Here is a 14,177-nt window from a genome sequence, read left to right as displayed (position 1 = left end):
CAATTTCCTTTCCGCCCAATGCCACAGCCCTAAATCAGACTTTTATTACCTTTCACTTACACACGGTCCCTGATTTTCCATGTGTTATTCCCTCTATCTGAATTCCCTTCCTCCCATTCACCATCTATTAAAATCTTCTCTTTGTAAATTCCAACTAAAGTGACTGCAAATCAGATAAAATTAAGGACTTACTATTATTTTAGGAGAGATAATGGTATTGTGGTTATGTATTTTTTAAAGTGTCCCTATCTTTTGAAGATACATATTGAAATTATTACAAAAGAAATGTGATGATGACTGGGATTTGCTTCAAGATAATCTGGGGGTGGGAGTGGGGGGAGGGGATGGGGGCACAGATAAAACAGCACTGCCCCTGAGCTGATAATAAAGCAGGGTGGTGAGTACACAGGGATTCATCACACACCTTTCTCTATTTTTGTATATTTAAAAAATTTTCCAGCTGGGCACACTGGCTCATGCCTGTAATCCCAGCACTTTGGGAGGCTGAAGCGGATGGATCACTTGAAGTCAAGAGTTTGAGACCAGCCTGGCCAACATGGTGAAACCCCGTCTCCACTAAAAAAAATACAAAAATCAGCTGGGCGTGGTGGTGCACACCTGTAATCCCAGCTACTGGGGAGGCTGAGGTAAGAGAAACACTTGAACTCAGGAGGTGGAGGCTGCAGTGAGATGAGATTGTGCCACTGCACTCCAGCCCCAGATTCCGCCTCAAAAAAAAAAAAAAAAAAAAAAAAAAATTCCAAACAAAAAACTGAAAAGAAAAATTCCAGGTCAAATGCCAGATTCCAAAGGGACTAATGCCCTTTTCTCCTAAATTACCCCACATGTAACTCTAGTTGTTACTTATTTCAATCTGCTCTGTCTTGCAGTGAGCTGTAGATACCAAGATGGGGAGCTCTCTAAGGACAGGCCTGAGCCACCCACATCCTTGCAGCTTTCTCCATGTACTTTACATATAATTGACACCCCACTGTTGAACTTATCTGAAAAAAGACCAAACCAAACAGAATACAGGGAAAACCAACAAGAGGAATACCTTTCACTCACTTCCCCTAATCAAAATTAAATCTTAAGGACGTTTATCATTTCAACTGTGCCATTTATATAAAACTCACAGGTTGGCCAGGCTTGGTGGCTCATGCCTGTAATCCCAGCACTTTCAGAGGCCAAGGCAGATGGATCACTTCAGGTCAGGAGTTCCAGAGCAGCCTGGCCAACATGGTAAAACCCATTCTCTACTAAAAATACAAAAATTAGCTGGGCGTGGTGGCACGTGCCTTTAATCCCAGCTACTCGGGAAGCTGAGGCAGGAGAATGGCTTGAACCTGGGAGGTGGAGGTTGCAGTGAGCTGAGATCGTGCCACTGTACTCCAGCCTGGGACACAGAGTAAGATCTGTCTCCAAAATAAATAAAATGAAATAAATAAAAATAAATAAAACTCACAGGTCATCTCACTCCGAGGTTCAGTAATCCAACCTACAAAGAGAAAATAACAACCATTTCCCTCAATTTTCCTACAGCCAGTGGGGCATGGGGAGAGCAGTATTTTTATTCCTAAAAAGATGACATTATTATTTTACACTGATTTCAAGGCCACCAGTATTTTTAATAATAATAGTAAACTTGGCTGGGCACAGTGATTCAGGCCTGTAATCTCAGCATTTTAGGAGGCCAAGGTAGACAGATCACTTGAGGTCAGGAATCCCAGACCAGCCTGGCCAACATGGTGAAACCCCTTCTGTACTAAAAACAGAAAAATTAGCCTGGCGTGGTGGTATGCACCTGTAGTCCCAGCTGCTTGGGAGGCTGAGACAGGAGACTCGCTTGAACCTGGGAGGCGGAGGTTGCAGTGAGCCGAGATCGCACCACTGCCCTCCAGCCTGGGTGAGAGAGTGAGACCCGTCTCAAAATAAAAAATAAAATAATAATAATAATAATAATAATAGTAAATCCGATGGATGCAGAGTGGTTATCAGGGTCAGAATCACGTGTCTGTCCTGTTCATTCTGCATCCCTTTTCTAGCTGTACTGTGGATCTCCTCTGTAACATAAAAGGGGCAAATAAATCCTTCTTCAGCCATTCAATTGAACTAATTATTACACGTGGCCTAGGTTGGTTTGACTTGGAGAAGAGATCAAGGATGTTCCCATCAGGTAGCTCTGGTTTCAAATTTTAAATGCCTTCAATGCCTCAGAAAGACTAGCAAACTCACATTGTTATATTTAGCAAAAGATTCCTTCAGCCCACACCATATAAAATGAAAATAAAAACTCTCCTTCTAAAAAACTGGCAGCTTTTTAAAGATCAGAACTTAATGCATCAAGTATAAATACACTGGACCCTGGTCTGGAATGAAAATATTTCAGTCACTGTCTGGGCCCACCACTAACAGCAAGTGATGCTAAGCGAGACAGAGCTCTCCCCCCAGTAACCGTCTCCCTTTATAGCTTTGTCTATCAACTCCAGTCCTATCCTTGGACTCACTCCCTGCTCCTATGTATTCAACTGCCTGGTAGGTAATTTTAGTGCATATAAAAAAATACTCATTTCCCCGCTAAAACCAACCAACACACCTCCCCACCACCATTTTCCCAACTTCCCACCCACTTCGATGACACATCAGGTTGAAGACCCCAGGAATACCTAGCACTCCTCCTCTTTCTCTTTCCTGACTACCCTTTCTTTGAAGCCTGTCCCTCTCTATTCCTACCCCGTCATGATCAAATAACCAAATCAGAAAACAGAGTATGTGCAGCATCTAAAAAGAACAAATTAGAATGAAACCTCTTGATTTATAGGGATTTCTCCAAGGTGTTCAGAAAAACAGGATGCAAAAATTAGTTTCAATGTGATTCTATTTTTTAAAAACAAGATTCCCAACCCACTGTATGTATGTGTATATACATTTCTGTATCACACAAGAATGAACAAAAGCATGAACGGACGCATACATGAGTTAGCTTGCAGCAGGGTTCTGTAAAAAGAGAAAGTGAAAAGAAAAGGAAATGGGGCAAGCATACCTATATACCAGTAGATGTAAGTGTTTAAAACTTTTAAAAAAAATGAATTAAAAATACTGAACGAATGCAACTGTACAAATGAATCTTCCATTCTTCCAGAAAATAGTATATTTTTAAATTCTGTGCCAGTCTTAAAACATATCTATAAATTCTTTAACAGTCCTCTCATGAAAAAGTGGAAACAAATTACCCTCCCCCTGAATATGGCTGGCTTTAGTGACTTCCTTCTAACCAGCAGAATGCAGTAGAAATGAGGCCATGTGACTCTCCACGCTGGAGGAGGACAGGCACTGAGGCTTCCGCCAGCTCGCTCTTGCTTGTGTGATGCCTGCCCTTGGAACCCAGCCACCGTACCGTGAGGAAGCCAAGCAGCCACGTGGAAAGGCCATAACAGGTGTTCCAGCCACAGTTCTCATGGAGGTCCCAGCTAATAGCTGGCATCAGCTGCCAGACATCACACGGTGAGGGAGACTGCACAAGATTCTAGCCTCCGCCCCTGGATGCTCCAACTTTGAACCAGCCCACCTCACTTGAGTGCCGCAGAGAGAATTGAGTATTATTGCTGAACTCTGCCCAAAGTGCAGTTTGTATGCAAAATAGTTCTTCCCTTATTTTAAGTGATAACTTTTGGAGAGACTTTTTTACACAACAGTAGATAATGGAACAAATACTACTTATGATTTTGCAGAGTAAATCGGCTTCTCGCTTTCCACCTCTATTGTCTTATGAGTCACTGTTATGAAGTTTACACGTCTGTTTTCCTGCTTCCACCTACTAGTGCTCAAGGACGCAGGGTGCTGAGGCAGGGGTGTGAGGGCACGTGCAGATGTGGTAGACAGAAGGCAAGGTCAGGGTAGGTGAAAGACCAGTTACAAGGAGCAAATAAGTAAATATACTGAGAATAGTGAAAGCCAGGTTTCTTCCAAGTACCTCTTGGAAGAGGTACTTACAAACATGCAAAGGGCTTAGGCTGGAGAGAACCCTAAAATGTTACATTGGAATTTAAGAGATCAGTCTGAATACATGGTTTTTAAGATATATAAAGAAAAAGGCAGGCGTGGTGGCCCACGCCTGTAATCCCAGCACTTTGGGAGGCCGAGGCGGGCAGATCACCTGAGGTCAGGAGTTCGAGACCAGCCTGACCAACATGGCGAGACCACGTCTCTACTAAAAATACAAAATTAGCTGGGTGTGCTGGCGGATGTCTGTAATCCCAGCTACTCAGGGGGCTGAGGGAGGAGAACTGCTTGAACCCAGGAGGCGGAGGTTGCAGTGAGCCGAGGTTGCAGCAAGCCAAGGTTGTGGTGAACCGAGATTGCGCCATTGCACTCCAGCCTGGGCAACAAGAGCAAAATTCCATCTCAAAAAACAAAAACAGATATAGGCCAGGCATGGTGGCTCATGCCTATAATCCCAGCATTTTGGGAGGCCAAGGTGGGTAGACCACTTGAGCTCAGGAGTTCAAGACCAGCCTGAATAACATGGCAAAATCCCAACTCTACAAAAAATACAAAAATTAGCTGGGTATGGTGGCACATGTCTGTGGTCCCAGCTACTCGGGAGGCTGAGGTGGGAGGATGACTTGAGCCCAGGAGGCGGAGGTTGCAGTGAGCTGATATCGAGCGACTGTACTCCAGCCTAGGAGACAGAGCCAGACCCTGCCCTCAAAACCCCCCCAAAAAAGAAAATGATATAGAAAGTGATAGGCTGGGCACGGTGGCTTATGCCTGTACTCCCAGCACTTTGGGAGGCCGAGGAGGGTGGATCACGAGGTCAGGAGATTGAGAACATCCTGGCTAACACAGTGAAACCCCATCTCTACTAAAAATACAAAAAAATTAGCCGAGTGTGGTGGTGGGCGCCTGTAGTCCCAGCTACTCGGGAGGCTGAGGCAGGAGAATGGAGTGAACCTGGGAGGCGGAGCTTGTAGTGACCAGAGATTGTGCCAATGCACTGCAGCCTGGGCGACAGAGCGACACTCTGTCTCAAAAATAAATAAATAAATAAATCAATAACTATTAGCCCGGTGTGGTGTCATGCACCTGTAGTACCAGCTACTTTGGAGGCTGAGGCAGGAGAACTGCTTGAGCCCTGGAGGCGGAGGTTGCAGTGAGCTGAGATTGTGCCACTGCATTCCAGCTTGGGCTACAGAGTGAGACTCCATTGAAAAGGGAAGGGAAAAGGGAAAAAAGAAAAGGAAAAGAAAAGAAAAACAATGGCATTACAGTAAGAAAAACAGAGATACCTGGAAGACACCAACATGAGCAGGTGATGAGGGCCAACAACAGCAGTAACAGGGCTGGTTAACAGAATGTGCCCCTTGATGTGATGTGCTGAGACTATTACAGCATCATTTTTGTGATACTTTTGCCAAGAAATCATGACCTGAATTTGGTCATAAGGAAATACTATAAGATCCGCCTTGCCAATCACCCTACAGGATATCTAACGGTTGTGGACAAGAACAACCGGGATGACAAAGGATGATCCCAGACTGGAGGGTGTGAAGAGACGCTGACAGCTAGGTGCAATGCACACTCCTCCCTGGGATTCTGGGACAAAACAGAAATGAGATATAGTTGGGGCAGCAAACTGTGAATGGGGTCAATAGATTGGACAATAGGGTTTTATCACTGCAAATTGTCTGACTTAAAGGAGTATGTAGTGGTTATTTGGGAGTGCCCTTAACTGGCGGAAAATAAACACTGAAATATTTAAGGGTGCTAGGATAGCATGTGCATAACATGGTCTCAAATGACCCAGAAAAAACTGATTTAGAGAGAGAAATAGTACAATAGAGTAAATGCAGTAAAACGTGAACAGTTTGGAAATCTGCATGAGGTGAGAGGAATGTGCAAGTTCCTCCCCATCACAGACTAGAAGAAAACTCTATCAGATACACACACAAACATACAACACACATTCATGCAGAGACACACACACACACATCTGATAAAGAACTTAACCCGTCATATATAAAGAACTTCTACAAATAAATTATAAAAAGACAAACATATTGATTATTCTTACTCTTATTATTTTTATTATTTTTGAGACGGAATCTCACTCTGTAGCCCAAGCTGGAGTGTGGTGGCATGATCTGGGCTCACTGAAACTTCCATCTCCCGAGCTCAAGTGATTCTTGCGCCTCAGCCTCCTGAGTAGCTGGGACTACAGGCGCCCACCACCATGCCCAGCTAATTTTTTGTATCTTAGTAGAGACGAGGTTTCACCATGTTGCCAGGGTGGTCTCAAACTCCTGAGCTCAGGCGATCCACCCACCTTGGCCCCCAAAGTGCCGGGATTACAGGTGTAAACCACCATGCCCAACCTACCTATTTTTAAAATAAGAAAAAGACTTGAACAGATACTTCGCAAAAGAAGGTATCCAAATGTCCAATTAGCAGGTATTCAATGTCATTAGGGAAATGCAAATTAAAGCCTCAGAGTTTCCATTTCATGCCCACTAACATGGCTAAAATCTAAAAGACAGGCACTAAATGTCGGTGGAGATACAGGGCAACAGGAACTATATTGCTCGTATTAGTTATCCACTGTAGCATAATAATACTAGCAAAGCTTAGCAGCAGCTTAAACTAATGCATGTTTATTATCTCACAGATTCTATAGGTCAAAAGCCCAGGCACAGTTTAGCTGGGTCCTCTATAAGGTGCCACCAAGGTACTGGCTGAGACTATGGTCTCATCTGAGAACTGAGTGGGATAGGATCTGTTTCCAAACACACATGGTTGTTGGCAACACTCAATTCCTTGTGGGCTGCTGGACTGAGGGCCACAGTCTCTTGCTGGCTGTGGGTTTGAAGCTGCCCTGAGCTCCCTGCCACAGGGCCGTCTCCATAGGCAGCTCACAACACAGCACCAAAGCCAGCAAGGGAGAGAGTCTCCTCACAAGATGAGCATTACGATCTGACTGGGAATAATCAGGTATGCATGACCATACACATCCTGTCACCTCTGCCATATTCTATCAGTGAGGAGTCAATCACAGGTCCCACCTGCACCCAAGGGCACAGGACTACTAGGCCATAAATACCAGGGGGTATTTATCATGGGGGCCACTTCAGAATCTGTCTGCCTCAGTTAGTGGGAATGCAAACTGATACAATCACTTTGAAAAAATTGGCAGTTTCTTACAAAGTTTAAACATACACCTACTCTAAGACACACCATTCCACTCCAACATATGTACCCCCAAAGAAATGAAAATGGGGCTGGGCGTGGTGGCTCATGCCTGTAATCCCAGCACTTTGGGAGTGTGAGGCAATAGGATTCCACAAAGCCAGGAGTTCAAAACTGGCATGGGCAACAAAGCGAGACTGTCTCTACATTAAAAAAAAAAAAAAGAGAGAGAGAGGGAGAAATGAAAATGTATGTCTGTAAAAACACCTGTGTAAGAATGTTCACAGCGGCTGGGCGCGGTGCTCAGGCCTGTAATCCCAGCACTTTGGGAGGCCGAGGTGGGCAGATCATCTGAGGTCAGGAGTTTGAGACCAGCCTGACCAACATGGAGAAACCCCGTCTCCACAAAATAAAAAAAATTAGCCAGGCATGGTGGCGCATGCCTGTAATCCCAGCTACAAGGGAGGTTGAGGCAGGAGAATCGCTTGAACCCGGGAGGCAGAGGTTGCAGTGAGCCAAGATCACGCCATTGCACTCCAGCCTGGGCAACAAGAGTGAAACTCCCGTCTCAAAAAAAAAAAAAAAAATTCATAGCAACTTTATTCATAAAAGCTAAAAGCTGTAAAGAACCTATATGTCCATCAACAGGAGAATGGATATGCAAATTATATCATGTTTCAATGAAATACTTGGAAATAAAAAAGAATGAACTACTAGCTGGGCGCAGTGGCTCACACCTCTAATTCCAGCACTTCGGGAGGCTGAGGCAGGTGGATCACTTGAGCTTGGGAAGTTAAGGCTGCAGTGAGCCATCACTGTACTCCAGCCTTGGTGACACAGCGAAACACCCTACATCAAAAAAAAAAAAAAAAAAAAAAAAGAAAGAAAAAGATAAAAAGAAAACCAGGCATGGTGGCTCACTTGAGGGCAGGAGTTCAAGACCAGCCTGGGCAATTGGCAAAACCCCGTCTCTACTAAAATAAAAAAATTAGCTGAGCATGGTAGTGCATGCCTGTAATCCCAGTTGCTTAGAAGGCTGAGGCAGAAGAATTCCTTCAACCTGGGAGGTGGAGGTTGCAGTGAACTCAGATCACGCCATTGCATTTCAGCCTGGGCAACAGAGTGAGACTCTATCTCAAAAATTTAAAAAAAAAAAAGAAGAAATTACAAACTTATTGGGAAAATGTGGGTGCTGATGAAAAAGCCAAACAGTTTTCGACAGCTGGAATTCACCAGATAATACCTAAAGATTGTTTTCTAAATAAGTCTGTAAAACTACGTGACTCTCTAAAATATATGTATAACTTTGATTAAAAATAAAAGCAATAATGAGGCCGGGCGTGGTGGCTCACGCCTGTAATCCCAGCACTTTGGGAGGCCAAGGCGGGTGGATCACTTGAGGTCAGGAGTTCGAGACCATCCTGGCCAACATGGTGAAACTCCGTCTCTACTAAAAATACAAAAATTAGCCAGGCATGGTAGCATGTGCCTGTAACCCCTGCTGTTCAGGAGGCTGAGGCAGGAGAATCACTTGAATCCAGGAGATTGAGTTCGTAGTGAGTGGAGATCACATCACTGCACTCCAGACTGGGCAACAGAGTAAGTCTCCGTCTCAAAACAACAACAATTCTCTTTGAAGCAATTGTGAATGGGAGTTCACTCATGATTTGGCTCTCTGTTTGTCTGTTATTGGTGTGTAAGAATGCTTGTGATTTTTGTACATTGATTTTGTATCCTGAGACTTTGCTGAAGTTGCTTATCAGCTTAAGGAGATTTTGGGCTGAGACAATGGGGTTTTCTAGATATACAATCATGTCATCTGCAAACAGGGACAATTTGACTTCCTCTTTTCCTAACTGAATACCCTTTATTTCCTTCTCCTGCCTAATTGCCCTGGCCAGAACTTCCAACACTATGTTGAATAGGAGTGGTGAGAGAGGGCATCCCTGTCTTATGCCAGTTTTCAAAGGGAATGCTTCCAGTTTTTGCCCATTCAGTATGATATTGGCTGTGGGTTTGTCATAGATAGCTCTTATTATTTTGAGATACGTCCCATCAATACCTAATTTATTGAGAGTTTTTAGCATGAAGGGTTGTTGAATTTTGTCAAAGGCCTTTTCTGCATCTATTGAGATAATCATGTGGTTTTTGTCTTTGGTTCTGTTTATATGCTGGATTACATTTATTGATTTGTGTATATTGAACCAGCCTTGCATCCCAGGGATGAAGCCCACTTGATCATGGTGGATAAGCTTTTGGATGTGCTGCTGGATTCGGTTTGCCAGTATTTTATTGAGGATTTTTGCATCGATGTTCATCAAGGATATTGGTCTAAAATTCTCTTTTTTGGTTGTGTCTCTGCCCGGCTTTGGTATCAGGATGATGCTGGCCTCATAAAATGAGTTAGGGAGGATTCCCTCCTTTTCTGTTGATTGGAATAGTTTCAGAAGGAATGGTACCAGTTCCTCCTTGTACCTCTGGTAGAATTCAGCTGTGAATCCATCTGGTACTGGACTCTTTTTGGTTGGTAAGCTATTGATTATTGCCACAATTTCAGAGCCTGTTATTGGTCTATTCAGAGATTCAACTTCTTCCTGGTTTAGTCTTGGGAGGGTGTATGTGTCGAGGAATTTATCCATTTCTTCTAGATTTTCTAGTTTATTTGCGTAGAGGTGTTTGTAGTATTCTCTGATGGTAGTTTGTATTTCTGTGGGATCGGTGGTGATATCCCCTTTATCATTTTTTATTGCGTCTATTTGATTCTTCTCTCTTTTTTTCTTTATTAGTCTTGCTAGCGGTCTATCAATTTTGTTGATCCTTTCAAAAAACCAGCTCCTGGATTCATTAATTTTTGAAGGGTTTTTTGTGTCTCTATTTCCTTCAGTTCTGCTCTGATTTTAGTTATTTCTTGCCTTCTGCTAGCTTTTGAATGTGTTTGCTCTTGCTTTTCTAGTTCTTTTAATTGTGATGTTAGGGTGTCAATTTTGGATCTTCCCTGCTTTCTCTTGTGGGCATTTAGTGCTATAAATTTCCCTCTACACACTGCTTTGAATGCGTCCCAGAGATTCTGGTATGTTGTGTCTTTGTTCTCGTTGGTTTCAAAGAACATCTTTATTTCTGCCTTCATTTTGTTATGTACCCAGTAGTCATTCAGGAGCAGGTTGTTCAGTTTCCATGTAGTTGAGTGGTTTTGAGTGAGATTCTTAATCCTGAGTTCTAGTTTGATTGCAATGTGGTCTGAGAGACAGTTTGTTATAATGTCTGATCTTTTACATTTGCTGAGGAGAGCTTTACTTCCAACTATGTGGTCAATTTTGGAATAGGTGTGGTGTGGTGCTGAAAAAAATGTATATTCTGTTGATTTGGGGTGGAGAGTTCTGTAGATGTCTATTAGGTCCGCTTGGTGCAGAGGTGAGTTCAATTCCTGGGTATCCTTGTTAACTTTCTATCTTGTTGATCTGTCTAATGTTGACAGTGGGGTGTTAAAGTCTCCCATTATTATTGTGTGGGAGTCTAAGTCTCTTTGTAGGTCACTCAGGACTTGCTTTATGAATCTGGGTGCTCCTGTATTGGGTGCATATATATTTAGGATAGTTAGCTCTTCTTGTTGAATTGATCCCTTTACCATTATGTAATGGCCTTCTTTGTCTCTTTTGATCTTTGTTGGTTTAAAGTCTGTTTTATCAGAGACTAGGATTGCAACCCCTGCCTTTTTTTGTTTTCCATTTGCTTGGTAGATCTTCCTCCATCCTTTTATTTTGAGCCTATGTGTGTCTCTGCACGTGAGATGGGTTTCCTGAATACAGCACACTGATGGGTCTTGACTCTTTATACCTAGGAATCCAACTTACACGGGACGTGAAGGACCTCTTCAAGGAGAACTACAAACCACTGCTCAATGAAATAAAAGAGGATACAAACAAATAGAAGAACATTCCATGCTCATGGGTAGGAAGAATCAATATCGTGAAAATGGCCATACTGCCCAAGGTAATTTATAGATTCAATGCCATCCCCATCAAGCTACCAATGACTTTCTTCACAGAATTGGAAAAAACTACTTTAAAGTTCATATGGAACCAAAAAAGGGCCCGCATCACCAAGTCAATCCTAAGCCAAAAGAACAAAGCTGGAGGCATCACGCTACCTGACTTCAAACTATACTATAAGGCTACAGTAACCGAAACAGCATGGTACCAAACAGAGATATAGATCAATGGAACAGAACAGAGCCCTCAGAAATAACGCCGCATATCTACAACTATCTGATCTTTGACAAACCTGAGAAAAACAAGCAATGGGGAAAGGATTCTCTATTTAATAAATGGTGCTGGGAAAACTGGCTAGCCATATGTAGAAAGCTGAAACTGGATCCCTTCCTTACACCTTATACAAAAATTAATTCAAGATGGATTAAAGACTTAAACGTTAGACCTAAAACCATAAAAACCTTAGAAGAAAACCTAGGCATTACCATTCAGGACATAGGCATGGGCAAGGACTTCATGTCTAAAACACCAAAAGCAATGGCAACAAAAGCCAAAATTGACAAATGGGATCTAATTAAACTCAAGAGCTTCTGCACAGCAAAAGAAACTACCATCAGAGTGAACAGGCAACCTACAAAATGGGAGAGAATTTTCGCAACCTACTCATCTGACAAAGGGCTAATATCCAGAATCTACAGTGAACTCAAACAAATTTACAAGAAAAAAACCAACAACCCCATCAAAAAGTGGGCGAAGGACATGAACAGACACTTCTCAAAAGAAGACATTTATGCAGCCAAAAAAGACATGAAAAAATGCTCACCATCACTGGCCATCAGAGAAATGCAAATCAAAACCACAATGAGATACCATCTCACACCAGTTAGAATGGCAATCATTAAAAAGTCAAGAAACAACAGGTGCTGGAGAGGATGTGGAGAAATAGGAACACTTTTACACTGTTGGTGGGACTGTAAACTAGTTCAACCACTGTGGAAGTCAATGTGGCGATTCCTCAGGGATCTAGAACTAGAAATACCATTTGACCCAGCCATCCCATTACTGGGTATACACCCAAAGGACTATAAATCATGCTGCTATAACAACATATGCACACGTATGTTTATTGCAGCACTATTCACAATAGCAAAGAGTTGGAACCAACCCAAATGTCCAACAATGATAGACTGGATTAAGAAAATGTGGCACATATACACCATGGAATACTATGCAGCCATAAAAAATGATGAGTTCATGTCCTTTGTAGGGACATGGATGAAATTGGAAATCATCATTCTCAGTAAACTATCGCAACAACAAAAAACCAAACACTGCATATTCTCGCTCATAGGTGGGAACTGAACAATGAGAACACATGGACACAGGAAGGGGAACATCACACTCTGGGGACTGTTGTGGGGTGGGAGGAGGGGGGAGGGATAGCTTTAGGAGATATACCTAATGCTAAATGATGAGTTAATGGGTGCAGCACACCAGCATGGCACATGTATACATATGTAACTAACCTGCACATTGTGCACATGTACCCTAAAATTTAAAGTATAATAATAATAAAAGAAAAAAAAAAGAAAAAAAACAACAACAACAACAATGAGAAAAAAAACTACTGGGGAATTTGGACTACCAAAAAATAAAACCAGGCTGGGCGTGGTGGCTCATGCCTGTAATCCTAGCACTTTGGGAGGCCGAGGTGGGTGGACTGCTTGAGCTCAGAAGTTCAAGACCAGACTGGACAACTTGGTGAAACCTCGTCTCCACTAAAAATACAAAAATTAGCTTGGTGTGGTGGCACACACCTGTAATCCTAGAGACTCGGGAGGTTGAGGCCTGAGAATCACTTTAACTTGGGAGGCGGAGGTTGCAGTGATCTGAGATCCACTACTGCACTCCAGCCTGGGCTGGAGTGAGAGTCTGTCTCAAAAAAATAAATAAGTAAAACAAACCAGGGAGGAAAGTAATCAAATGCTGAAACTTCAAATGAAACAAAAACACAATTAAAAGGAGCATTTGTCTTTTCTAAGAATCTGTATGCTAAATGTAATGCTAATTAAAGAGACTAAGATTTACTGGGGTGGAGAAATCATATTGAAATTCAATATTTTATTAGTATTAGGCATATTCCATATTAAAATTGTAAAAACTGTATCCCTTCTTCACAACTTACATTCCAAGTTCTCATTATCTTTTTATCCACTAACAGGCCAAGGATTTCTCAATCCATTGGCTGGAAAGTCAGGGTTATCGTGCATTTATATGAAAGAAAATCTAATTATAATAATATATCACCTATATTCATCTGATACCTTTCACTGAGGAACATAAAACTCTTTAGTGATTCTATCTTTCTCCTCAGAGCATTTCTAAGCAGTAAGACAATGAAGGGTCTGGAAAGTGAGTGGTTTGCCTACTTTCATTTAGAAAATCAGAATTAAGACACAGGAATCCCAACAGATCAGTGCTCTTGTTGCCTTCCTACATACACACACTTTTAGAAAACAGGTGCCACTTTTAGGCAGGGCACGGTGGCTGATGCCTGTAATCCCAGCACTTTGGGAGGCTGAAGCAGGAGGATCACTTGAGTCCAGGAGTTCACCAGCCTGGGCAACAGTGGGACCTTGTCTCTACAAAAAATAAACAAAATTAGCTGGGTGTGGCAGCACGGGCCTGTAGTCCCAGCTACTTCCGAGGCTGAGATGGGAGGATTGCTCGGGCCTGGGAGGTTCAGGCTGCAGTGAGCTGAGATCATGCCACTGTGCTCCAGCATGGGCAACAGAGCAAGACCCTATCTGAAAAAAAAAAAAAAAAAAAGAAAGGAAAGAAGAGAAAAGAAGAGAAGAGAAAGAAAAGAAGAAAAGAAAAGCCAAGCCAAGCCAAGCCAAGCCAAGTCAAGTCAAGCCAAGCCACTTTCTGTAAGTTATGGCTAAAGTGTCCATGTTCAAAGAACCCCAAACTGGATGGATCCAAACTATTTAGGAGGTTTCCTCT

At 42.6% G+C, this 14,177-nt stretch overlaps 1 protein-coding gene across 3 annotated transcripts in view, besides 5 other annotated features; it reads right to left on the bottom strand.

Moving 5' to 3' along the window:
- Positions 1-14,177, bottom strand: part of PACS1 (phosphofurin acidic cluster sorting protein 1) — a 174,473-nt gene that overhangs the window by 140,473 nt on the left and 19,823 nt on the right. The window contains exon 1 of one of the 3 annotated variants that reach the window (XM_011545162.2): positions 3,398-3,491. The exons of the other annotated variants lie outside the window; for them this stretch is intronic. Within the exon in view, the coding sequence (XP_011543464.2) occupies positions 3,398-3,459 (62 nt within the window). The 5' untranslated portion in view covers positions 3,460-3,491. Of the gene's footprint in view, positions 1-3,397; positions 3,492-14,177 lie in introns of those variants that run through there. 3 annotated transcript variants of the gene reach the window in all.
- Positions 2,941-3,848: an enhancer, noted in NCBI's record as "H3K4me1 hESC enhancer chr11:65867895-65868802 (GRCh37/hg19 assembly coordinates)". NCBI's record gives its function as "activates a minimal SCP1, AML or CMV promoter by ChIP-STARR-seq in primed H9 embryonic stem cells {active_cell/tissue: H9 hESC(primed)}" and the evidence as "EXISTENCE:reporter gene assay evidence [ECO:0000049][PMID:30033119]".
- Positions 3,219-3,298: a silencer, noted in NCBI's record as "silent region_3577". NCBI's record gives its function as "represses an Ori minimal core promoter by ATAC-STARR-seq in GM12878 lymphoblastoid cells {active_cell/tissue: GM12878}" and the evidence as "EXISTENCE:reporter gene assay evidence [ECO:0000049][PMID:35858748]".
- Positions 3,669-3,768: an enhancer, noted in NCBI's record as "active region_5033". NCBI's record gives its function as "activates an Ori minimal core promoter by ATAC-STARR-seq in GM12878 lymphoblastoid cells {active_cell/tissue: GM12878}" and the evidence as "EXISTENCE:reporter gene assay evidence [ECO:0000049][PMID:35858748]".
- Positions 3,849-4,758: an enhancer, noted in NCBI's record as "H3K4me1 hESC enhancer chr11:65866985-65867894 (GRCh37/hg19 assembly coordinates)". NCBI's record gives its function as "activates a minimal SCP1, AML or CMV promoter by ChIP-STARR-seq in primed H9 embryonic stem cells {active_cell/tissue: H9 hESC(primed)}" and the evidence as "EXISTENCE:reporter gene assay evidence [ECO:0000049][PMID:30033119]".
- Positions 3,869-3,938: an enhancer, noted in NCBI's record as "active region_5032". NCBI's record gives its function as "activates an Ori minimal core promoter by ATAC-STARR-seq in GM12878 lymphoblastoid cells {active_cell/tissue: GM12878}" and the evidence as "EXISTENCE:reporter gene assay evidence [ECO:0000049][PMID:35858748]".

This window comes from Homo sapiens, chromosome 11 (genome assembly GCF_000001405.40).
Source record: "Homo sapiens chromosome 11, GRCh38.p14 Primary Assembly".
Classification (NCBI taxonomy): Eukaryota; Metazoa; Chordata; class Mammalia; order Primates; family Hominidae; genus Homo; species Homo sapiens.
The sequence above is the reverse complement of the archived record's forward strand: the minus strand, read 5'-3'. Positions and strand labels throughout refer to the sequence as shown.